General features: G+C 38.0%; 1 long non-coding RNA gene and 1 pseudogene across 1 annotated transcript in view; one reads left to right on the top strand and one right to left on the bottom strand.

The window, feature by feature from the left end:
• The window catches only part of LINC01205 (long intergenic non-protein coding RNA 1205), an 85,178-nt gene that overhangs the window by 12,667 nt on the left and 45,785 nt on the right, over positions 1–26,726 (bottom strand). Inside the window, exons 3-4 of the long non-coding RNA NR_109841.1 lie at positions 22,573–22,618; positions 5,739–5,778 (exon numbers count right to left, since the gene is read on the bottom strand). This is a non-coding gene — a long non-coding RNA (long intergenic non-protein coding RNA 1205). The remainder of the gene's footprint in view (positions 1–5,738; positions 5,779–22,572; positions 22,619–26,726) is intronic.
• On the top strand, positions 10,644–11,381 carry PPIAP15 (peptidylprolyl isomerase A pseudogene 15; annotated as a pseudogene).

The raw sequence follows: 26,726 nt of genomic DNA, 5'->3' as shown, positions 1-26,726 counted from the left end.
ACTTAAAAATTAACTGTTAAAATATAAGTATATAGCTTCTCCAAATTACACATAATTCTAAAAAAAAGTTAACTCCCTGCCACTTTCAGTGTCATATTAATAAACTAACAGGCAGAATTTTCATGTGATCATGGATACCTGCATGTTATTATATTAGTGCAAACTCATGCCAACAACAGGGAAGTTTGGTGAAATGTACCTTCCCTTTTGAACAAACAGAAGATGCCTTCTGTGGGTTCTGAGGAATTGTAGCACACTCTCCAGCATGCACACACACACACACACACACACACCCCTTTCTGAATGACTTGGAAAGCAAAACGTATTTTTCCTTCCTCCTTCAATAAACCCTACTCATGGCTGAAAAGCTGTGAATCTCTAGAGCCCCCTTTTCACTTGGGACCTCATGCAGCCAGGGCCAATATGAAGGTGCACCACCATTTGATTTAAGCCAGCTGGAACCTTAGGTTACACTGCATGACTTTAGACACTACTCAGCTACTTATTGGCTATGCAATCTTGGATATGTCCCTTAAGCTCCATGGATCTCAGTTTCCTCCTCCTCCTCTCTACGGAAGGAGATAATTTTAACTACCTAATAAATATGTTATTACAATTAAATAAACATACATGTAAAATGCTTGGCACTAGCATTGGTAATTATTATCTTTTCTATGTAGGTATATGTATATATTAGTCTACATATATACTATTGATAAAATATGTCAATAATGTATATTTATTTATACATATCTATATATCCATACATATTTATACATTTATAAATATATAAATGTATAAATATATAAATATATAAATACATATTTATACATTTATAAATATAATATATAAATACATATAGATACGTGTGTGTGTGTGTGTGTATATATATATATATATATATATATATATATATATATATATTATATCAGTAGTCAGCAAACCTTTCTGTGAAGAGCTAGATAGTAAACATTAGCACTTTGGGAGCCTGAGGTGTTACATAAATGCTAACACTTACCGTGTAAATAGGCAGTGTCTCAGTTTTACAAATGGAAAACATTAGTTTGCCTAATAGCTACCCAGACTATGTAAGAATTGATTCATGAGGCAATTCTGTTTTCTATTTATACAGTATTCTGCAGCTCTAAAATGACTGTCTTATTCCTTAGACACAAATTTACTCACCCTTCTTTCTCACTCCATTATTCCATTTCACATATGAAGAAACTGCAGCTGAGAGTGGTAAAGTGATTTGTCCAAGATTCCTCAGTTAGTGAAAAGAAAAGGTGGGACTTCAAGTTTACTGCCAACTTTTAAAGGTAATGGCAATAATCAAATGCAATGAATGAGGCCGGGCGCGATGGTTCATGCCTTTAATCTTAGCACTTTGGGAGCCTGAGGTGGGCTTGAGCTCAGGAGTTCAAGACCAGCCTGGGCAACATGGTGAAACCATGTCTCTACAAAAAATACAAAATATTAGCCAGGCGTGGTGGCACCTGCCTGTAGTCCCAGCTACTTGGAGTGCTGAGTTGAGAGGATCACCTGAGCCCAGGAGGTGGAGGTTGCAAGTGAGCCAAGATCGTGCCACTGCACTCCAGCCTGGGTCAAAAAAAAAATTAATGAGAATTTTTCATTTAATATCAAAACTACAAGGTTCACTGCCTAGCTTAATTTCACATCTAACGTTACAGAAAGTTTTTTTTTTTTTTTTTTTGAGATGGAGTCTTGCTCTGCTGCCCAGGCTAGAGTGCAGTGGTGCCATCTCGGCTCACTGCAACCTCTGCCTCCCGGGTTCAAGCTATTCTCCTGCCTCAGCTTCCTGAGTAGCTGGGATTACAGGTGCCCACCACCATGCCCAGCTAATTTTTGCATTTTTTTTAGGTGGAGATGGTGGTTTCACCATGTTGGCCAGGCAGGTCTTGAACTCCTGACCTCAGATGATCCGCCTGCCTCGTCCTCCCAAAGTGCTGGGATTATAGGCGTGAGCCACCGTGCCCAGCCTAATGTTATAGAAAGTTTTAAAATGTGCAAACATACAGGAAAAAAAATCACACTCCTTCAAATTTTAATAATTCTTTGGAAGTCACAGCACCAACTTAAAAGACTAAATCTAAAAGGGAAATATCCCCAAGGCCTTTTTAATGTTCCTACTGTATTTATTCCCTCTTTTTTGTTCAAGCAGCTAATCTCCTCATGATTGATTCCTTGTTTAGAAGTAACTCAGTCTCCGCCTGACTTTAGACACTGGCCCCTTATTCCCTGGTCTGAGTGTCTGTCTTTAGTCTTTATTGTCTCCTCTGAGGACCTCCCTCCCCTTCTACTGCTTGTGACAGCATAATGACACCAGGCCCACTTAAACTCAGGTCTCTGCTCTTTGTAGCTAACCAGCCCTTGGCTAAGCCATATTTCCCAACAGTTAGCATGCTGCCCCTTAAGACAGTGTCTTTAGAAAATACCAACAGAGAAAGAAACATCACCATGTTAAAGTTGGAATATTGACTTTGTTTATTCTTTCTCTGTGTAGTGATCCAGTCACTCGTTACCATGATATTCATTGTACTATTGTTAATTCAAATACATGCAAAATCATTTAATTAAAATTGCTAAAGCCCATATGATAAAATGAATGAACGAATGCATTATTAGTAGAAAATAAATATTTCCATAAGAATTTCAAGATGTTTAGCTACTAATTGTACTACTGCATAAAGAAACACACAAAAATATTATAGTCTTGAACGTTAAAATAACGAATATGTACAATTATATTTAACAGTATTTGTAAAATTTTTAAGTTTCATATATATTAAAGAATAAATTCAACTTTGTTTGTATTTTTCCCCTGAAATAGCTTTCTTTTTGTCAGATATTCAATGCTTATGGCACCACAGTCGTCATTTTTGGCTTTGTAAACTGGACTTTTCTACATATATTCCAACTCTACTTTAACCTTAAGCTATACTAAAGAATAACTTTTCCTCCTGTATGTCGTTCTGTTTCTGTTAAATACCAGTTGGTACCCAGGCCTCTAACTGCCTACCTCAAAGTGACTCACAATTTTCTAAAAATCATACCTGCTAAAATAATCAACAGACCAAAACAAAATAAACATATTTGCCATTCTTTGTCGATATTATCGAATCCTTAATATAGGCCCTGAAAAATCTTTAGTAAATATGTTTTCCTTAAAGGTAGATACTAAGTTTAGAGGAACAAAATGCACCCCTCCCCCATCCCCTCTTGTTTATAGAGGGCTTTTGGTTTTGGTTTTATTTCTTTTCTTTGTTTACTCATTTATTTGCATTTTTTCTATAGTAACTTTAAATATCTTAGTTTTGGTATATATTATTTCCTTACTTCCCCAAATTTTAAATCACAATTATCCTTTTTGTATTATTTCAATTGTAAACAAATTCTTACTCCCTATTTTGATTTCTTTCAAAGTGAAATAAGTCATTGTCTAAGTCTATTTAGGGTTGTTATAAAGAAATACCTGAGACCGAATAATTTGAAAGAAAACAGGTTTATTTGGGTCATGATTTTCATGGCTGGGAAAGTTCAAGATTGAGCATCTGCATCTGGTAAGGGCCACAGGCTGCTTCCACTCATGGCAGAAAGTGAAGAGGAGCCCATGTGTGCAGAGACTGCATGGTGAGAGAGGAAGCAAAAGAGAGGAGGGAGGTGCCACACTCTTTAACAATCAGCTCTTGGGGAAACTAACAGAATGACAGCATGCTCATTACCACTACTACAGCATCAAGCCATTCATAAGGGATCTGCTCCCATGACCCAAACACCCCCATTAGGCATCAATTCTAACACTGGGGATCAAATTTCAGCATGAGATTTGGAAGGGACAAAGATCCAAACTACAGCAGTACTGGCATCTAATATTTAATTTAAAAGCATCTCAAACTATACTGAATAACATTTAATTGGTTTTTCACTCTCCTTCCAGAGAGAAACATATACTGCTTGAATCAACTCACAGAAAAATCAAGCCCTGAAAACATATACTAGTTATCTAAGCATTTATTCCATATTTTATTAATTTATTCTTCAATAAATATCTCTTGAATAATTACTGCATGCAAGGCACTGTGCTAAACATTGATTATGCCATGGTGCATAGAAGAAACATGACACCCTCCTCTCAGAGTTTATAAACCAGTGAGAAAAACAAAGAACAATTAAGGTAACTAATAAATAAATACAGATTTTCAAATTGCAAAAATCTTCATAGGGGAAATCATCAGGGTGCAGGGACAGAAAAGAATGGTGGGCCTTACACAGGTGGGGTATTGGAAGATTACACTGATGAGGTATCACTGACTGAAACTGGGAGGATGAGAAGAGGTTACTTCTTGAAAATAGGAAGTGAAAGATCTTCAGAAAAAGATGCCTATATAAATAGATGTTCCCAATGTGGAAGACAGCTGGGCATATCCGGAACATTAAAGGTGTCCAAATTGGCTCAAATTGTGATTTGAGAAAAAAAAATTCAAAAAAAAAATCACACACACACATAAATTAGATAGATAGATAGATAGATAGATAGATAGATAGATAGATAGATAGACAGACAGACAGATAGATAATGCTAAAGCAAGTATGTTTAGGCGCTAACATTTGATGGAGCTGCATGAAAAGTGTACGGGGATTCTATGTCCTTTTAAGTCTGAAATTTTTTCAAAGAGTTTTTTTAATTTTTTCCACCGGGCACAGTGGCTCACTCCTGTAATCCCAACACTTTGAGAGGACAAGGCGGACAGATCACTTGAGGCCAGGAGTTTAAGACCAGCCTCGTCAACATGGCAAAAACCCATCTCTACTAAAAATGCAAAAATTAGCCAGGTGTGGTGGCACACACCTGTAGTCCCAGCCACGCTGGAGGCTGAAGCAAGAGAATCACTTGAACCCAGGAGGCGCAGGTTGCAATGAGCCAAAGTCGCACCACTGCACTTCAGCCTGGGTGAGGAAGGGAGACCCTGTCTCATAAAGAAAAAAAAAAATGATGTTTTACAAAAAGGATTATGAAAGCAATGAACCAATACCCCTTATAAATATAGACACAAAAATTATTAACAAAATACTAGCAAGCAATATTCAGCAAAATATAAAAGAATTATACATCATGATCAAGGTGGATTTATCCCAGGAATAAGGTTAGTGGTTTAGGCTACAAAAATCAATCAATGTAATATACCATATTAGTAGAAAAATAGAAAATAAAAACCAGGATTTTCTCAAAAGACATAGAAAAAGCAGTTGAGCTGGGTGCAGTGGCTCATGCCTATAATCCCAGCACTTTGGGAGGCCAAAGTCAGTACACAGCTTGAGCCCAGGAGTTCGAGACCAGCCTGGGCAACCACGGCAAGACCCTGACTCTACAAAAAAATTCAAAAATTAACCAGACATAGTGGCATTTGCCTAAAGTTCCAACTTTACTCGGGCGTTGAGGCTGCGGTGAGTCATGATCAAGCCACTGCACTCCAACCTAGGTGACAGAACAAGACCCTGTCTCGAGAAAAAAAAGAAAAGAAAAAAGAAAACACAGTTGAAAAAATCCAACATATTTTCATGATAAAAACACTTTTAAAAAATTAGAAATAAAAAGGAATTTTCTCAGTCTGATTAGGGGTATCTATGGAAAACCACAGCTAATATCATGCTTAATGAAGAAAAACTGAGTGCCATTTCTCTAAGAACAGGAACAAGATAAGGATGTCTGCACTCACCACTTTAATCCACACTGTTCTTGAGGCTTTAGGAAAGCAACTGTGCAAGAAAAAAGATTTAAAAAGAAATATGAAACTATCTTTATTTGCAAGCTATCTATATTTGTATATAGAAAACTCTAAGGAATCAGATTTTAAAACTTGTAGAACTAATAAATGAGCTCAAAAACTTGCCAGGATACAAGGTCAATATACAAAAATCGATTGTATTTCTATCTACAAGTAATGAACAATCTGAAAATGAAACTTAAAAATGATCCCATTTATATTAGCAGCAAATAAAATACCTAGGAGAATTTTAGCCAAAAAAAAAATCTCAGGCCTTGTACACTGAGCACTACAAATACTGTTGAAAGAAACTAAACAAGAACTACATAAATAGACATGTCATATTCATGAATCAGAAAACTTAAATTGTTAAGATAGCAATACTCCCCAAATTAATCTACAAATTCAACAAAATATCTATCAAAATTCCAACTGTTTTTTAATTCAAAAATTGACAAGCTGTCACTAAAATTTATATGGGAATGCGAGGGATCAAGAATAGCCAAAAGAATATCGAAAAATAAAAAAGCTGGAAGACACACTTCCTGATTTCCAAATCTACTATTCGGTTGATGCAAAAGTAATTGCAGGTTTTACAATTGAAAATAATGGCAAAAACCGCAATCACTTTTGCACAATATAAAGCTACAGTAATCAAGACAGTGCAATACTGACAAAGAAACAGAATATAAATCAATGGAATAGGATTAGGAGTCCATACATAAACTCTCACATTTATTGTCAATTGATTTTTGACAAGGATATAAAAACAATTCAGTGGGAAAAAAAGAGTATTTTAAAAAATGATGTTCAGACAACTGGATATCCACATGAAAAAGAATGAGTCTGGACATCTCTGCCTCACAATATACACAAATATTAATTCAAAATGGCTAATAGATCTAAGTGTAAGAGGTAAAATTATAAAACACCTAAAGGAAAACATAGGAGTAAATCTTTGAGACATTGGATTAGGCAATGGCTGATTTCTTAGATAAAACACCAAAAGCACATGAAACAAAAAATATATAGATAAATTAAGCTTCATTAAGATGTAGAACTTTTGTGCATACAAAACTGAAAAGAGGAACTCCTGGCCAGTGACAGTGGCCCATGCCTGTAATCCCAACACTTTGGGAGGCTGAGGCAGGAAGATCACTTGAGCTCAGGAGTTTGAGACCAGCCTGGGCAACATAGTGAGATCTTGTCTCTATTTTTTTTTAATAAAAAAATGTAAAAAGAGAAGAAAAGAAGTCCTAGTCAGAGCAATCAGGCAAGATAAAGAAATAAAAGGCATCCAGGCTGGGCGCAGTGGCTCACGCCTGTAATCCCAGAACTTTGGGAGGCCGAGGCAGGTGGATCACCTGAGGTCTGGAGTTTGAGACCAGCTGGTCAACATGGTGAAACCCCACCTCTACTAAAAGTACAAAAATTATCCAGGTGTGGTGGTGGGTGCCTGTAATCCCAGCTACTTGGGAGGCTGAGGCAGGAGAATCTCTTGAACCTGGTGGGTAGAGATTGCGGTGAGCCGAGATCATGCCACTGCATTCTAGCCTGGGCAACAAGAGTGAAATCCCATCAAAGAAAAAAAAAAAAGCATCCAAATAGGAACAGAGGAAGTCAAACAATATGATACTATACCTAGAAAACCTGATGGTCTCTGCCCACAGGCTTCTAGATCTTATAACCAACTTCAGTAAATTTTAAGATATAAAATCAATGTACAAAAATCAGTAGCATTTCTGTATGCCAATCAATAACATCCAAGCTGAGAGCTAAATCAAGAATGCAATCCCTGGCCAGGCATGGTGGCTCATGCCTGTATTCCCAGCACTTTGGGAGGCTGAGGCGGGTGGATCACCTGAGGTCAGGAGCTAGAGACCAGCCTGGCCAACATGGCGAAACCCCATCTCTGCTAAAAATACAAACAAATTAGCTGGGTTTGGTGGTCTGCCTGTAATCCCAGCTGCTTGGGAGGCTGAGGCTAGAGAATCGCTTGAACCCAGGAGTCAGAGGTTGCAGTGAGCCAAGACTGCACCACTGCACTCCAGCGTGGGTGACAGAGGGGGACTCCATCTCAAAAAACAAAAAAAGAATGCAATCCCATTCACAGTAGCCACAAAAGAATAAAGCATCTAGCAATACAGCTAACCAGAGAGGTGAAAGATCTCTACAATGGAAATTACAAAACACTGCTTAAAAAAATCAGAGATTACACCAACAAATGGAAAAACATTACATACTCATGTATAGGAGAATCAATGTTGTTAAAATGGCCATACTGCCCAAAACTATTTACGGATTCAATGCTATTTTTATCAAACTACCAATGACATGTTCACAGAATTAGGGTAAAAAAAATTCTAACATTCATTTGCAACCAAAAAAGAGCCTGAATAGCCAAAGCAATCCTAAGAAAAAAAAATAAAGCCAGAGGCATCACACTACCCAACTTCAAATTATACTACAAGGCTACAGTAACTAAAACAGTATGTTACACTGGTACAAAAATAGACACATAGACCAATGGAACAGACTAGAAAACCCAGAAATAAGGCCACACACCTAAAACTATCTGATCTTGGATAAAGTCAACAAAAGCAATTGGGAAACAACTCCCTATTTAATAAATGCTGCTGGGATAATTGGCTAAGAATATGCAGAAGATTGAAACTGGACCCCTACCTTTCACCATATACAAAAATCAACTCAAAATGGATTGAAGACTTAAATGTGAAACCTAAAACTATAAAGATCCTAGGAGAAAAGGGTATGCTTATATACTGCTGGTGGGAATGTAAATTAGTTCAGCCACTGTGGAAAGCAGTCTGGGGATTTTTAAAATAACTTAAAATAGAAGTACCATTTGACCCAGCAATTCCATTATTGGGTATACACCCAAAGGAATATAAATTGTTCTACCATAAAGACAAATGCATGCATATGTTCACTGCATTACTCACAATAGCAAAGACATGGAATCCACCTAGATGCCCATCAACAGCAGACTAGATAAAGAAAATGTGGTATATATACACCATGGAATACTACGTAGCTATAAAAATGAGATCATGGCTTTCTCAGCAACATAGATGGAGATGGAGGCTGTAATCTTAAGTGAATAATTGCAGGAACAGGAACCAAAATACCATATATTCTCATTTATGAGTAGGAGGTAAACATTGAGTACACATGGGCACAAAGAAGGGAACAATAGACACCAGGGCGTATTTGAGGGTGGAGTGTGGGAGGAGGCAGAAGACTGAAAAACCAATTATCGGGTATTATGCTGATTACTTGGGTGACAAAATTATCTGTACACTAAACCCCCATGACACACAATTTACCCATGTAACAGATCTGCACATATACCCCCTTGGACTTAAAATAAAAGTTGGGACAGAAAAAAAATTGAAAAGACAACCCACAGAACCAAAGAATATACTTCTAAATCATATATCTGATAAAGCAATCATCTAGAATATAGAAAAATGCAACTCAACAATAGGAAAATAAATAACCCAATTTTAAAAATGAGCAAAGGGATTAAATAAACATTTCTCCAAAGAAGATACATAAATGGCCAATAAACACATGAAAAGATGCTCAATATCATTAGTCATTAGATAAATGCAAATCAAAACCACAGTGGGATTACATTTCAATCTCCCTAGGATGACTATTTACAAAAAAAAGACAGAGAGAAATAATAACAAGTGTAGAGAATGTAGAAAATGGGAACCCTCATACATTGCTGTTGAGATTGTAAAACAGCGAAGCCATTTTGGAAAACAATTTGGCAATTTTTCAAAATGTTAAACATAAACAAAATGTTAAACCATGTGACCAGCAAATCCACTCCTAAGAGAAATGAAAACTCCCAAGAGAAATGAAAGCACTTGTCCACACAGAGACTTATGCATGAACAATCACAGAAGCATTATTCATAATAGCCAAAATGCAGAAACAACCTAAGCACCCATCAGCAGGTGAATAGGCAAACAAAATGTCATACATCCATACGGTGGAATATTATTTGGCCATAAAAAGTGAAGTATTGTTACATTCTACATGGATAAACCTTGAAAACACATTCTAAGAAAAAGAAGTCAGACACAAAAATACTACATATGATATGGACTTGTGTATGTAAAATGTCCAGAATAGGCAAATCCATACAGACCAAAAGTAAATTAGTCCTCGTCAGGAGCTATGGCTAGGTCCAGGGCTGGAGGCAAAGGGTTTAAAGGTAAGGGTGAGAAATGGAAAATAGGTTTGTAAAGGGTATAAGGTTTATCTTTAGAGTGTTGGAGAAACCCCATCTCTACTAAAAATACAAAATTAGCCAGGCATGGTGGTACATGCCTGTAATCCCAGCTACTCAGGAGGCTGAGGCAGGAGAATCGCTTTAACCAAGGAGGCAGAGGTTGTAGTGAGCCAAGATCACGCCATTGCACTCCAGCCTGGGCAACAAGAGCGAAACTCCATCTCAAAAAAAAAAAGTTCTAAAATTAAATTGGAAATGGTGGCACAACTCTGTGAATATACTAAATTGAATTGTACACTTAAAATGGATGAATTTTATGCTATATAAAACATACATCAATAAAGCTGTGAAAAGAAAAAGAATAGAAGCTATGCCATAAATTGATCTTTTCATATGTAAGTTAGAAACTTATCTGTAATTAGGAGTTTCTCCAACCATTTTCTTGAGATATTTTAGTATTAGGTATGACTTATGTACAAAAATAGGTAAGGCAGAATTTCTTCTAAATGTTTCATATTTTCTATTAGGTATACCTTTTGAATTTTCTTGTTAACATGACAACACCATTCTTTTTGTTAAGAACTGCAGGCTTTGCAGACGCCACCACCACTGGGAGCCCCATACTATCAGCCACGGTCAACCTCACCATGTTCTTTGACATCGCTGTTGATGGTGAGCCCTTGGGTCACGTCTCCTTTGGAATCTTGTCTGCAAGATTCCAAAGACAGCAGAAAACCTTTGTGCACTGGAGAGAAAGGATTTGGTTATAAGGGTTCCTGCTTTCACAGAATTATTCCAGGGTTTATGTGTCAGTGTGGCAAGTTCACACGCCATAATGGCACTGGTGGCAAATCCATCTGTGGGGAGAAATTTGATGACAAGAACGTCATCCTAAAGCATACAGGTCGTGGCATCTTGTCCATGGAAACTGGTGGACCCAACACCAATGGTTCCCAGTTTTTCATCTGCACTGGCAAGACTGAGTGGCTGGATGGCAAGTACATGGTCTTCAGCAAGGTAAAAGAAGGCAAGAATATTGTGGAAGCCATGGAGCGCTTTGGGTCCAGAAATGGCAAGACCAGCAAGAAGATCACTATTGCAGACTGTGGACAACTCTAATAAGTTTGATTTGTGTTTCATCTTAACCACCAGCCCATTCTTTCTGTAGCTCAGGCAAACACCCCTCCACCCCATTTGCTCAAAGTATCCTAGAATCTTTGTGCTCTCGCTTCAGTTCCCTTTTTGTTCCCTGTTTTCCTTGTTCCCTTCCAGGCCTAGCTGGATTGCAGAGTTAAGTTTATGATTATGAAATAAAAACTAAATAACAAAAAAATTTAAAAATAAAAAATAAAGAGCTGCAAGCAGCTATGAGTAACAGAGCTGCCTCACACTATTAAAAAAAGAAAAAGAAAAAAAAGACAATAAACATATTAAACCAATGGTGGTTCACTCCTGTAATCCTAGCACTTTGGGAGGCCAAGGCAGGCCGATCACCGAGCCCAGGAGTTCCAGACCAGCCTGGGCAACATGGAGAAACCCCATCTCTACAAAAAATACAAAAAAAAAAATAGGCAGGTGTATTAGTCCATTTGCATACTGCTATCAGGAAATACCCAAGGGTGGATAATTTATAAAGAAAAAGAGGTTTAATACACCCACAGTTCGACATGGCTGGGAAGGCCTCATGATCATGGTGGAAGGCAAAGGAGTAGGAAAGGCACGTCTTACATGGCAGCAGGCAAGAGAGTGTGTGCAGGGGAACTGCCTTTCATAAAACTATCAGATATCATGAGACTTATTCAGTATCATAAGAATAGCATGGAAAAACCTGCCCTCATGATTCAGTTACCTCCAACCAGGTCCCTCCCACAACATGTGGGGATTATGGGAGCTACAATTCAAAATGAGATTTGGGTGGGGACACAGCCAAACCACATCATTCTACCCCTGGCCCTTCCCATTTCAGCATTAACTCAAAAGTCCACAACCCAAAGTCTCATCTGAGACAAGGCAAATGTCTTCCACCTATGAGCCTGAAAAATCAACAGCAAGTTAGTTACTTCCTAGATAACAATGGGGGTACAAACATTGGGTAAATACAACCATTCCAAGTGGGAGAAATTGGCAAAAACAAAGAAGCTACAGGCCCCACGCAAGTCTGAAATCCAGAGGAGCAGTCAAATCTTAAAGCTCCAAAATGATCTCCTTTGACTCCATGTTTCACATCCAGGTCATACTGATGCAAGAGGTAGGTTTCTATGGTCATGGGCAGCTCCACCCCTGTAGCTTTGCAGGGCACAGTCCCCCTCCTGGCTGCTTTCATGGGCTGCCATTGAGTGTTTGCAGCTTTTCCAGGTGCACAGTGCAAGCTGTGGGTGGATCTATCATTTTGGGGTCTGGAGAACAGTCACCCTCTTCTCACAGCTCCACTAGGCAGTGCCCCAGTGGGGACTCTGTTTGGGGGCTCCCACCCCACATTTCCCTTCTGCACTGTCCTAGCAGAGGTCCTCCAGGTTCGTACTGCCCCTGCAAACAATTTCTGCCTCGAGATCCAGGCATTTCTATACATCCTCTGAAATCTAGGTGGAGGTTCCCAAACCTCAATTCTTGTCTTCTGCCCACCCACAGGACCAGTACCATGTGGAAGCTGTCAAGGCTTGGGGCTTGCACCCTCCAAAGCCACAGCCTGAGCAGTACCTTGGCCCCTTTTAGCCACAGCTAAAGCAGCTGGGACACAGGGCACCAAGTCCTGAGGCTGCATGTAGCAGGGGGGGCCCCAGACCCAGCCCAGGAAACCCTTTTTTCCTCCTAGGCCTCTGGGCCTGTAATGGGAGGGACTGCCACAAAGTTCTCTGATATGTCCTGCAGACATTTTCCCCATTGTCTTGGTGATTAGCAATTGGCTCCTCATTACTTATGAAAATTTCTGCTACCAGCTTGAACTTCTCCCCAGAAAATGGGTTTTTCTTTTCTACTGCATCGTCAGGCTGCAAATTTTTCAAACTTTTATGTTCTGCTTCCTCTTGAACACTTTGCTGCTTAGACATTTCTTCCACCAGATACGCCAAATCATCTCTCTCAAGTTCAAAGTTCCACAGATCTCTAGGGCAAGGGCAAAATGACACCAGTTTCTTTGCATAGCAAGAGTGACCTTTACTCCAGTTCCCAACAAGTTCTTCATCTTCATCTGAGACCACTTAGCCTGGACTTTATTATTCATATCACTATCTGCATTTTGGTAAAAGCCACCCAACAAGTCTCTAGGAAGTTCCATACTTTCCCACATCTTCCTGTCTTCTGAGTCCTCCAAGCCTCTAGAAAGTTCCAAACTTTCCCACATTTTCCTATCTTCTACTAAGCCCTCCAAATTGCTCCAACCTCTGCCTGTTACCCAGTTCCAAAGTCATTTCCACATTGTTGTGTATCTTTACAGCAGCATCCCACTTGACCAGTACTTGGTCAATCAGAAAATTGACCACTTGGGTCCATTTTCATACTATGAAAGAATACCCAAGACTGGGTAATTTATAAAGAAAAAGAGGTTTAATAGACTTACAGTTCCACATGGCTGGGGAGACCTCACAATCATAGTGTTAGGCAAAAAAAGAAGACAGGCACATCTTACACAGAGGCAGGCAAGAGAGCATGTGCAGGGGAACTGCCCTTTATAAAATCATCAGATCTCATGAGACTTATTGACTATCATGAGAACAGCATGGGTAAACCCACCCGCATGATTCAATTACCTCCAACAGGGTCCCTCCCACGACACTTGAGGATTGTGGGAACTACAATTCAAGATGAAATTTGGGTGGGGACACAGCCAAACCATATCACTGAGTGTGGTGGTATGCACCTGTAGTGCCAACTACTCAGGAGACTGAAGCAGGAGGATCACCTGAGCCTGGGGAGGTCAAGGCCACAGTGAGCCGTGATTATGCCACTGCACTCCGGCCTGTGTTACAGAGTGAGACCCTGTCTCAAAACAAAAATCAAAAACAGTAGCTGAGAAAAATATATGGCTTTTTTTTGCATATAAGACATGTCCAGATGTAGACAGTCCAGAATGTGAATGGCAGCTCTGTGACATCAATCATTAGACCATATTTATTTCATCTTTGTATTCTGCCACTTGAGAAAAGGCTTTCATCCTCAAGTTACATCCTAATTCAGTAGGATTACTGAAACTCCTGGAAATATTTGTTGAACTTTAGATTGGAAAAAAGGGGGAAGGGAGGAGAAATGCAAACAGAGTGTCTCCAGCCAAGGTAGCTTGATTTAAAGAGCTCTTGGAAACATCTTCCACTTATATTTCATTGGCCAAGTCTAGTTATCAATAGCTATAAAATTTGGTGTCTTAGCTGTACATTTTGCCTCACTGTTTAAAATCAGGGCTCTATTGCAATGGAACAAGAAATGAATGGATTTAATAAGCGAACCAGCACTCTGCCCTGACATCTGAAATCCATCCCTCACTGACATCTAAACCCATAAACTTTGGAGAATTAATTCTTTAAAAGTCAGATAATGAGAAAGATGCCATAGTCTTGAAGAAAATAAAATAGGTTACTTCAGGACAAGAATCTCTTCTTTCCAAGGTATTCAAATCATTTATCAAAAAGTCTCAATATGAATTATGTCCAGCTTTACTACTGAATTTATTTTCTTTCTTTTCTACATGATAGAAGTCTCCAGATTGGCCATTTATTCATTCAGCCGTTTAGCCAATAATTTGGCTTTTGATTTTTTTTTAATTTGGATTGAGGGGTACATGTGCAAATTTGTTACACGGATATATTGCATAATGATGAGGTTTGGGCTTCCAGTATACCCCTCACCCAAATAGTACACATTGTAATAAGTACAATCTTTTAACCCTCGCCCCCACTCTCAACCTCTCCCATTTTTGGAGTCCCCAGTATCTATTATTTCCATCTTTGTTTCCTTGTGTGCCCACTGTTTAGCTCTCACTTAAAAGTGAGAACATGCGGTGTTTGATCTTCTGTTTCCATATTAATTCACTTAGGATAATGGCCTCTAGCTCCATCCATGTTGCTGCAAAGACCATGATTTCATTCTTTTTTACAACCATATGGTATTTCATGGTGTATGTATATATATATATATATATATATTACATTTCCTTATCCAATCATATGTTGATAGATCTTAGGTTGATTCCATGACTTTGCTGTTGTGAATAGCACCACAGTAAACATAAAAGTGCAGGTGTTTTTTTATATAATAACTTCTTTTTTTGGGTAGATATCCAGAGGCACTGCTAGGTCAAATGGCAGTTCTATATTTAGTTCTTTGAGAAATTGCCATCCTGTTTTTCACAGATGTTGTACTAATTTACATTCTCATTAACAGTGTATAAGGTTTCACTGTTTTCTGCATCCATGCCAACATCTGTTGTTTTTCACTTTTTAATAATAGCCATTCTGACTGATGTGAGATGATATCTCATTGTGGTTCTAATTTACATTTCTCTGATGATTAATGTCGAGTATTTTTTCATATGTCTGTTGGACATTTGTATGTCTTCTTTTGAGAAATGTCTATTCTCATCCTTTGCTCTTTCTTAAGGGGATTATTGGTTTTGTTGTTTTTTGTTCTTGTTGCTAACTGAGTTCCTTGTAGACTCTGCATATTAGTCCTTTGTCAGAGGCATAATTTGCAAATATTTTCCCCAATTCTGCAGGTTGTCTGTTTACTCTATTGGTTATTTATTTTGCTGTGCAGAAGCTTTTTAAATTCCGTTTCTCTTTCTGTTTTTGTTGCATTTGTTTTGGGAATCTTTGTCATAAATTCTTTGCACAGGCCAATGTCTAGGAATTTTTCCTAGGTTTTCTTCTAGAATTTTTATAGTTTCAGATCTTATATTTAGATCTTTAATCCATCTTGAATTAATTTTTGTATATGGTGAGAGATAGGGGTCCAGTTTTATTCTTCTGCCAATCTTCCCAGCACCATTTATTGAATAGGGTGTCCTTTTGTAACTGTTTATTTTTGTTGACATTGTGAAAAATCAGCTGGTTGTAGATACGTGGCTTTATTTCCAGGTTCTCTGTTCTGTTTCATTGATCTATGTGTCTATTTTTGAATAGTACCATGCTGTTTTAGTAACTACGGCCTTGTAGTATAATCTGAAGTCAGGTAACGTGATGTCTCTGGCTTTATTCTTTTTGCTTAGTACTGCTTTTGCTATTCTGGCCCTTTTTTGGTTTCATATAAACTTTAGAATAATTTTCTCTAATTCTATGAAGAATGATGTTAGTAACTTTATTTTTTTTTAATTATACTTTAAGTTTTAGGGTACATGTGCACAATGTGCAGGTTTGTTACATATGTATACATGTGCCACGTTGGTGTACTGCACCCATTAACTCATCATTTAACATTAGGTATATCTCCTAATGCTATCCCTCCCCCTCCCCCCACCCCACAACAGGCCCCAGTGTGTGATGTTCCCCTTCCTGTGTCCATGTGTTCTCATTGTTCAATTTCCACCTATGAGTAAGAACGTGGTGTTTGGTTTTTTGTCCTCGTGATAGTTTGCTGAGAATGATGGTTTCCAGCTTCATCCATGTCCCTACAAAGGACATGAACTCATCATTTTTCATGGCTGCATAGTATTCCATGGTGTATATGTGCCACGTTTTCTTAATCCAGTCTATCATTGTTGGACATTTGGGTTGGTTCCAAGTCTTTTCTATTATGAATAGTGCTGCAATAAACATACATGTGCATGTGTCTTTATAGCAGCATCATTTACAATCCTTTGGGTATATACCCAGTAATGGGATGGGTGGGTCAAATGGTATTTCCAGTTCTAGTCCCTGAGGAATCGCCACACTGACTTCCACAATGGTTGAACTAGTTTACAGTCCCACCAACAGTGTAAAAGTGTTCCTATTTCTCCACATCCTCTCCAGCACCTGTTGTTTCCTGACTTTTTAATGATTGCCATTCTAACTGGTGTGAGATGGTATCTCATTGTGGTGTTGATTTGCATTTCTCTGATGGCCAGTGATGATGAGCATTTTTTCATGTGTTTTTTGGCTGCATAAATGTCTTCTTTTGAGAAGTGTCTGTTCATATCCTTTGCCCACTTTTTCATGGGGTTATTTGTTTTTTTCTTGTAAATTTGTTTGAGTTCATTGTAGATTCTGGATATTAGCCCTTTGTCAGATGAGTAGGTTGTGAAAATTTTCTCCCATTCTGTAGGTTGCCTGTTCACTCTGATGGTGGTTTCTTTTGCTGTGCAAAAGCTCTTTAGTTTAATTAGATCCCATTTGTCAATTTGGGACATTAGTAATTTTCTAAGGATTGCATTGAATCTGTAGATTGCACTGGGCACTATTGTCACTTTAATGATATTGATGCTTCCAGTTCATAAGCATGGGATTTTTTCTATTTGTTTGTGTCATCTATGATTTCTTTCATCAGTGTTTTGTAGTTTTCCTTGTAGAGATCTTTCACCTCCTTTGGTTAATGTTTTCCTAGGTATTTAATTCAGCCAACAGTTATTGAATGCTTATTTTATACCAGTCACTAATGAGAAGTATAGAGTTTACATTCCAGTGGGAAATACAGCAAGTAAACAAATTCTTTATTTAATCACATAAAGCTGCCATATCAGTGGATTTTTTTCAGTTGATTACTGATTTCATTTTTTTGAGTTTTATGTAGCAGAAGATGATAAATTTAATGGAAAAAAACTAAAGTAGAAGAGAGAGCTAACTATTGATAGGTGATAGGGATGAAGATTTTAAACAGAGCAATCAGGTAGGGCTTCACTGAGTAGTGGATGGACGAGGACAAGAGAAGTACGGAAGACATCCAACCAGGTATTTGGAGAAAAAGAACCAGAGATAGAGGAGTGAATGTGTGTAAGAAGAAGGAGCAAGCAGTCTAGGATAAGCAGGGAGGTAAGTGTGACCAAAGGACAGTAATTAGATGGGGAGAGAAGCAGATGAGGTCAGAAAAGTAACAAGAGTCAGATAAAACAGGGCCTTGTAGATCATTATAATGACTTTGCCTTTTACTCAGTGTGAGGTAAAAGGTCATTAGAGACTCTTGAGCAAAAGCAGTGAAAGAATATGACTTTTGTAAAGATCACTGACAGCTGTGTTGAGACTAGACTGTAATGGATAGAGAGAATGTGTTAACAGGCTTTTCAATTGCAGTGAGAAATGATGGTGGCTCAGACCAGGATGGTTATAGCAAAGGTGGCAAAACGTTTCTAGAATATTGGAAAGGTACATAGTGCAGGGTTGCCCAGTGGAAAAGATATCAAGTGAGAAAGAGCCAAGGATAACCCAAATGTATCTGGTCTAAGCAACTGCAAGAATGATGTTGTCACTAGAGTGTGAAGAGATGGACGTGAAGACTGGGGAGAAAGATTAAGAGTTCTGTTATGGCCATGTTAAGTTTGAGGTTTGCATTAGACAGACAAGTGGTGAAGTAAAATGAAATATTACGTATAGAATTAGGACGTCAGAACCCAGGAACTATTTCCAGTTTATCTATAAACCTATGGGGAGAACTAGAACTAAAAGGTATGTGTATGTGTTTTAAGAAAAGAGAAATAACAGCACCTTTTATGCTGATGGGAAAAATCTAGTAGAGATAATTTTTCAGGAAAATTGTCCTTTTATTGTGTGAATTATTATTAACAATATCTTGTAGACTCAGTTTCCACATTGGTGAAATGAGAAATTCAGAATATGATGTCTAGGATCCAATGGTCTATGTTGTATTAGTCAAAGGAAGTATTCTTCATTACTCTAGTGGCCTGTATATGAATCATTTCATTTGGAAATGGAATTTTGTACTAGACTGTAGTGGGTGGTAGAATACCTGAGCAGAACTTTAATCCCCATTTTTTTAGTATATAGCATTTCAGCTTTCCCTTCACTATCTTTATTGTATTCCCTATTTCTTCCTCAGAATCAACCCCAAAGGACAATGTTGTGTTTCTCTTATGATTTATCTATGTTGCATTAAATCACCTGTGAAAGCAACTAGGCATTACCTGGAGCTTAAACATCACCTTTGATCGTATAGAGAGTCTCAGTGCAGTTCTATTGGTGATAAAGAGAGATGACCAATTCCCTCAGTTCCATCTCAGCATTTTTGTATGCAGAGTTTTAACTTCTTCTACCTAGTAATTTCCTATTTTCTTGAAATCCATATCATTCTTTTCTCAAATCCCAGAGCAGCTCATTATTATCGCCATTGAAAAACAGTTTGATAATAACTGTACTGGTTCATACACATGAATATATAAAAACACATGAGTTTTTAATGTGTATGAGAGAGAAAGGCAGAACACTGGTCACCACTGGCAGTAACTGAGACCCCAAACACTCTTTCTAAGGTAGAACTTTAGGGAAAGAATTGAGAAATTATCTAACCTTTTTTGTGAAGTTTATTTTGGATAACCAAAGGGATATAACTAAAGAATGAAACTTCTCTACAAAATGTTTATAGCTTAAAAAAACAGCTGGTGAAAAAAATAAATGAAAGTTCCACAGTGAACTTATATATGAGAGAAACAGTGTCACCATGTGAATTTCAATGATTAATCTTTGCATCATTAAATTAGGGCTACCAAAAATATATGCTTCATGACATGAAACACAGGCAGCATCCAAGACCACTTGTGAAGTGTCATCCAAGACCATTTATGAAGTGTCACTTATGAATAGTCTGTTTTCACACTGCTATAAAGAACTGCCTGAGACTGGGTAATTTATAAAGAAAAGAGGTTTAATTGATTCACAGTTCTGCATGGCTGAGGCTTCAGGAAACTTACAATTGTGGTAGAAGGTGAAGGGGAAGCAAGGCATGTCTTATATGGCAGCAGGAGAGAGAAAGAGAAGGGGGAGGTACTACACATGTTTAAATGATTAGATCTTGTGAAAATTCACTCACTATCACAAGACCAGCAAGGGGGAAATCCGCCCCCATGATCCAATCACCTCCCACCAGGCCCCTCCCCTAACATGTGGGGATTACAATTCAACATGACATTTGGGTGGGGACACAGAGCCAAACCAAAAATGATGGACCTAAATCTACTCAAATCTTTAGTTCTAACTAATGAGTTCCATGTCAAAAGAAATTTTTTAAAGATTAAAGATTTAGGCCAGGCACAGTGGCTCAAGCCTGTAATCCCAACACTTTGGGAGGTCAAGGTGGGCAGATCACTTGAGCCCAAGAGTTCAAGACCAGGCTGGGTAAAATAGCAAAATCCTGTCTCTACAAAAACACACAAAAATTAGCCAGGCATGGCGGTGGCATGCACCTGTATTCCCAGCCACTCAGGAGGCTGAGGTGGGAGGATTTCTTGAGCCCAGGTGGTCAAGGCTGTAGTGAGCTGTGAAGCCATGATCATGCCACTGCACTTCAGCCTGGGCAACAGAGTGAGACCCTGTCTCAAAAAACATAAATAAATAAAATAAAGATTAAAGACTTAATAGCCAAATACAAACAGTAGAACTCATTTAGATAATCATTTGAATACATCAATCAGTTTAAAAATTGGTTCAGACAATGTGCTAAATTTCAATATGGGTTGGCTATTGAATGTTGCAAGGAAATTTCATTAAATTTGGCAAATGTGATAATGATGTTATGGTTATATTTTCAAAAATTCATGTAACTCTAGAAATATATTCTGAGTTATGTTAGGGAAATTACATAATGTCTGAGATTTGCTTTAAATATTTTAGCAAAAAAGAGGAGGAGGAGAAGAAGAAAGGAGGATAGAAGAAGGAAGAGGGCAAATTCTTGATAATTATAAAATCTAGGCAATTGAGATACAGGGGTTCAGTATAGTATTTCCTCTACTTTTGTGGCATGTTTGAAGTTTTTTTTTTTCTTAATAATAAGCATTCTATACCCCATCTCCTCTTTCAATCCCATCTCTTCTCCCAGAAAATCCTTCCTATCCTTTGCCTTTTCCACATACCTAAGAAGCCAGAACAACCCCCTATTCCCTACTCTTGGATATTCTGTGCTTCTACATGATATTCCTGCTGCCCGTATTCCCTACAACCACCACAAAAACTCCTAGTGACCCTTCAAAGCCCAGCTCTCCTATTAATCTCCCTATTCCCCACATACGCCTAGCTGAGTTCTACCTCAGGGTGATTTGTGTTTGCTTACTGTCTGTCTCCCCCTAACTAGAATGTCAGCTCCATGAGAGTGTGACTGCTTTGTTGACACAGCAGGATATTAACAGTCCCAAAACGGTGCCAGGAGCACAGTAAGAACACAATAAATATGTGTTGAGTTAATGAATGAATGAATGCCACTCTTAGGTGAAGTTATTCTTTACCCTTTTAACTGAATTTGGCACTTCATTTGTACTCTTCTGGTCCTTTTTCTTTGTTCATATCTTGTTATTTTAAATTTAATTGTTAATATATTTCTAGCTGACTAATACGAGTTTCTTGAGGAAGGAATGGTGTTTTATTCACCATGATGACTCTGACAGTGCCAAGCACATAGTAGAGGAGCAGCAATTACATACTGAATAAACGAAGGAAAATTTTAGAGCTTCACAATTCTTTTTTGCTCCATCCTTGGTATTATTTCCCACACCACAATTTATGGGGAGATAGATGTGAGATTTTGAGTTCCAGAAATGCTAAACTGAACTGATCATCTTCTAGCATCTTAGAAAAGAAACTTTGACTTTACCATCATGTTTGTTTCTATTGGGTGCATGCATACTATTGTCCTGTGTTATAATATTTACAAAACAAGAGATTAGGAAATGTGTGCATGTGTGTGTATGTGTCTGTCTGTCTGTCTTGTCTGTAAATTTAAAAAAAGAGAAAGTTGTAAAATGTTTTTGCCTAATCTTTGAAGTTGAAGATGGGTAAACTTCATAAGCCAATATTTTAATCCTTAGATATGCACCCCTAGAAGAATTATAGTACACACATACCAGGGGCTATGCATAGATACATTCACAATAGCATGGTTTGTAATAGCTAAACCATGGGAAAATGCAAATTTCATCAACAGAAGAATGGATAAATCAACAGGTGCATATTCAGGTAATATTAATAAAATGATCTGTATCAGTGAAATTGAATGAAATTCATCCATACACAGCAACATAGACCAATACTTTTCAACCGAGGGAATCTGCCACCCCAACACAAACTCAAACACCCAGGTGACATTTGGCAATGTCTGGACACACTTGTGATTGCCACGGCTAGGGTCAAGTCACTGGCATCTAATGGCTAGAGACTAGTTATGCACCTAACATCCTATGATGCACAGGACAGACTGTCACAACAAAGAATCGTCCAGTCCAAAATTTCAGTAGTGTGGAGGTTGAGAAACCCTAACCTAGGCAAATCAAAAAGGCATACTACTGAGCAAAAAAAGCAAGTCACAGAAATATCATATATAATTGAAACATACATTATATCATTTAAATAAAGTTTTGGTAAACAAGAAAAATTTTAAATATATTATTTTAAAACTCACATTTATGTGGTGAAATTGTGAAGAAAACCAAGGGAATTATAAACACCTGGAAGAGAATAAAAAGGATGGAATTAGGGAAGGACGCCAAGGAACATCAAAGATACTGGCATAGGGGTGGATGTTTTATTATTCTTATTTAAGAATATAAGCATATCTACCAAGCAAATGGAAAACAAAAAAACGCAGGGGTTGCAATCCTAGTCTCTGATAAAACAGACTTTAAATGAACGAAGATCAAAAGAGACAAAGAAGGCCATTACCTAATGGTAAAGGGATCAATTCAACAAGAACAGCTAACTATCCTAAATATATATGCACCCAATAAAGAAGTACCCAGAGTCATAAAGCAAGTCCTGAGTGACCTAGAAAGAGACTTAGACTCCCACACAATAATAATAGGAGACTTTTATTCACTGTCAACATTAGACAGATCAACGAGACAGAAAGTTAACAAGGATACCCAGGAATCGAACTCAGCTCTGCACCAAGCAGACCTAATAGACATCTACAGAACTCTCCACCCCAAATCAACAGAATATACATTTTTTTCAGCACCACACCACACCCACTCCAAAACTGACCACATAGTTGGAAGTAAAGCTCTCCTCAGCAAATGTAAAAGCATAGAAATTATAACAAACTGTCTCTCAGACCACAGTGCAATCAAACTAGAAGTCAGGATTAAGAAACTCACTCAAAACCGCTCAACTACATGGAAACTGAACAACCTGCTCCTGAATGACTACTGGGTACATAACGAAATGAAGGCAGAAATAAAGATGTTCTTTGAAACCAACGAGAACAAAGACACAACATACCAGGATCTCTGGGACACATTCAAATCAGTGTATAGAGGGAAATTTATAGCACTAAATGCCCACAGGAGAAAGCAGGAAAGATCCAAAATTGACGCCCTAACATCACAATTAAAAGAACTAGAAAAGCAAGAGCAAACACATTCAAAAGCTAGCAGAAGGCAAGAAATAACTAAAATCAGAGCAGAACTGAAGGAAATAGAGACACAAAAAACCCTTCAAAAAATTAATGAATACAGGAGCTGGTTTTTTGAAAAGATCAACAAAATTGATAGACCGCTACCAAGACTAATAAAGAAGAAAAGAAAGAAGAATCAACTAGACGCAATAAAAAAAGATAAAGGGGATATCACCACCAATCCCACAGAAATACAAACTACCATCAGAGAATACTACAAACACCTGTATGCAAATAAACTAGAAAATCTAGGAGAAATGGATAAATTCCTCGACACATACACCCTCCCAAGACTAAACCAGGAAGAAGTTGAATCTCTGAATAGACCAATAACAGGATCTGAAATTGTGGCAATAATCAATAGCTTACCAACCAAAAAGAGTCCAGGACCAGATGGATTCACAGCCGAATTCTACCAGAGGTACAAGGAGGAACTGGTACCATTCCTTCTGAAACTATTCCAATCAATAGAAAAAGAGGGAATCCTCCCTAACTCATTTTATGAGGCCAGCATCATCCTGATACCAAAGCCAGGCAGAGACACAACCAAAAAAGAGAATTTTAGACCAATAACCTTGATGAACATTGATGCAAAATTCCTCAATAAAATACTGGCAAACTGAATCCAGCAGCACATCAAAAAGCTTATCCACCATGATCAAGTAGGCTTCATCCCTGGGATGCAAGGCTGGTTCAACATACGCAAATCAATAAATGTAATCCAGCATATAAACAGAACCAAAGACAAAAACCACATGATTATCTCAATAGATGCAGAAAAGGCCTTTGACAAAATTCAACAATGCTTCATGCTAAAAACTCTCAATAAATTAGGTATTGATGGGACGTATCTCAAAATAATTAGAGCTATCTATGACAAACCCACAGCCAATATCATACTGAATGGGCAAAAACTGGAAGCATTCCCTTTGAAAACTGGCACAAGACAGGGATGCCCTCTCTCACCACTCCTATTCAACATAGTGTTGGAAGTTCTGGCCAGGGCAATTAGGCAGGAGAAGGAAATAAAGGGTATTCAATTAGGAAAAGAGGAAGTCAAATTGTCCCTGTTTGCAGATGACATGGTGGTATATCTAGAAAACCCCATTGTCTCAGCCCGAAATCTCCTTAAGCTGATAAGCAACTTCAGCAAAGTCTCAGGATATAAAATCAATGTACAAAAATCACAAACATTCTTATACACCAATAACAGACAAACAGAGAGCCAAATCATGAGTGAACTCCCATTCACAATTGCTTCAAAGAGAATAAAATACCTAGCAATCCAACTTACAAGGGACGTGAAGGACCTCTTCAAGAAGAACTACAAACCACTGCTCAATGAAATAAAAGAGGATACAAACAAATGGAAGAACATTCCATGCTCATGGGTTGGAAGAATCAATATCATGAAAATGGCCATACTGCCCAAGGTAATTTACAGATTCAATGCCATCCCCATCAAGCTACCAATGACTTTCTTCACAGAATTGGAAAAAACTACTTTAAAGTTCATATGGAACCAAAAAAGAGCCCACATCACCAAGTCAATCCTAAGTCAAAAGAACAAAGCTGGAGGCATCATGCTACCTGACTTCAAACTATACTACAAGGCTACAGTAACCAAAACAGCATGGTACTGGTATCAAAACAGAGATATAGACCAACGGAACAGAACAGAGCCCTCAGAAATAATGCCGCATATCTACAACTATCTGATCTTTGACACACCTGAGAAAAACAAGCAATGGGGAAAGGATTCCCTATTTAATAAATGGTGCTGGGAAAACTGGCTAGCCATATGTAGAAAGCTGAAAGTGGATCCCTTCCTTACACCTTATACAAAAATTAATTCAAGATGGATTAAAGACTTAAATGTTAAAGTCAAAACCATAAAAACCCTAGAAGAAAACCTAGGCAATACCATTCAGGACATAGGCATGTGCAAGGACTTCATGTCTAAAACACCAAAAGCAATGGCAACAAAAGCCAAAATTGACTAATGGGATCTAATTAAACTAAAGAGCTTCTGCACAGCAAAAGAAACTACCATCACAGTGAACAGGCAACCTACAAAATGGGAGAAAATTTTCGCAACCTACTCATCTGACAAAGGGCTAATATCCAGAATCTACAATGAACTCAAACAAATTTACAAAAAAAAAACAAACAACCCCATCAAAAAGTGGGTGAAGGATATGAACAGACACTTCTCAAAAGAAGACATTTATGCAGCCAAAAAACACATGAAAAAATGCTCATCATCACTGGCCGTCAGAGAAATGCAAATCAACACCACAATGAGATACCATCTCACAGCAGTTAGAATGGCGATCATTAAAAAGTCAGGAAACAACAGGTGCTGGAGAGGATGTGGAGAAATAGGAACACTTTTACACTGTTGGTGGGACTGTAAACTAGTTCAACCATTGTGGAAGTCAGTGTGGCGATTCCTCGGGGATCTAGAACTAGAAATACCATTTGACCCAGCCATCCCATTACTGGGTATATACCCAAAGGACTATAAATCATGCTGCTATAAAGACACATGCACACGTATGTTTATTGCGGCACTATTCACAATAGCAAAGACTTGGAACCAACCCAAATGTCCAACAATGATAGACTGGATTAAGAAAATGTTGCACATACACACCATGGAATACTATGCAGCCATAAAAAATGATGAGTTCATGTCCTTTGTAGGGACATGGATGAAACTGGAAATCATCATTCTCAGCAAGCTATCGCAAGGACAAAAAACCAAACACCACATGTTCTCACTCATAGGTGGGAATTGAACAACGAGAACACATGGACACAGGAAGGGGAACATCACACACCGGGGACTGTTGTGGGGTGGGGGGAGGGGGGAGGGATAGCATTAGGAGATATACCTAATGCTAAATGACGAGTTAATGGGTACAGTACACCAACATGGCACATGTATACATATGTAACAAACCTGCACATTGTGCACATGTACCCTAAAACTTAAAGTATAATAATAAATTAAAATAAAAAATAAATAAATAAATAAAAATGCAATGCTTCTCTCAAAAAAAAAAGAATATAAGCACAAGATAAGCATAGGGGTGGATGTTTTGTTACTCTTAATGTTTATTATGTCATATATGTGTTCTTTTGTATGACTGATTTTT

Source organism: Homo sapiens, chromosome 3 (assembly GCF_000001405.40).
Source record: "Homo sapiens chromosome 3, GRCh38.p14 Primary Assembly".
Taxonomy (NCBI): Eukaryota; Metazoa; Chordata; class Mammalia; order Primates; family Hominidae; genus Homo; species Homo sapiens.
The sequence above is the reverse complement of the archived record's forward strand: the minus strand, read 5'-3'. Positions and strand labels throughout refer to the sequence as shown.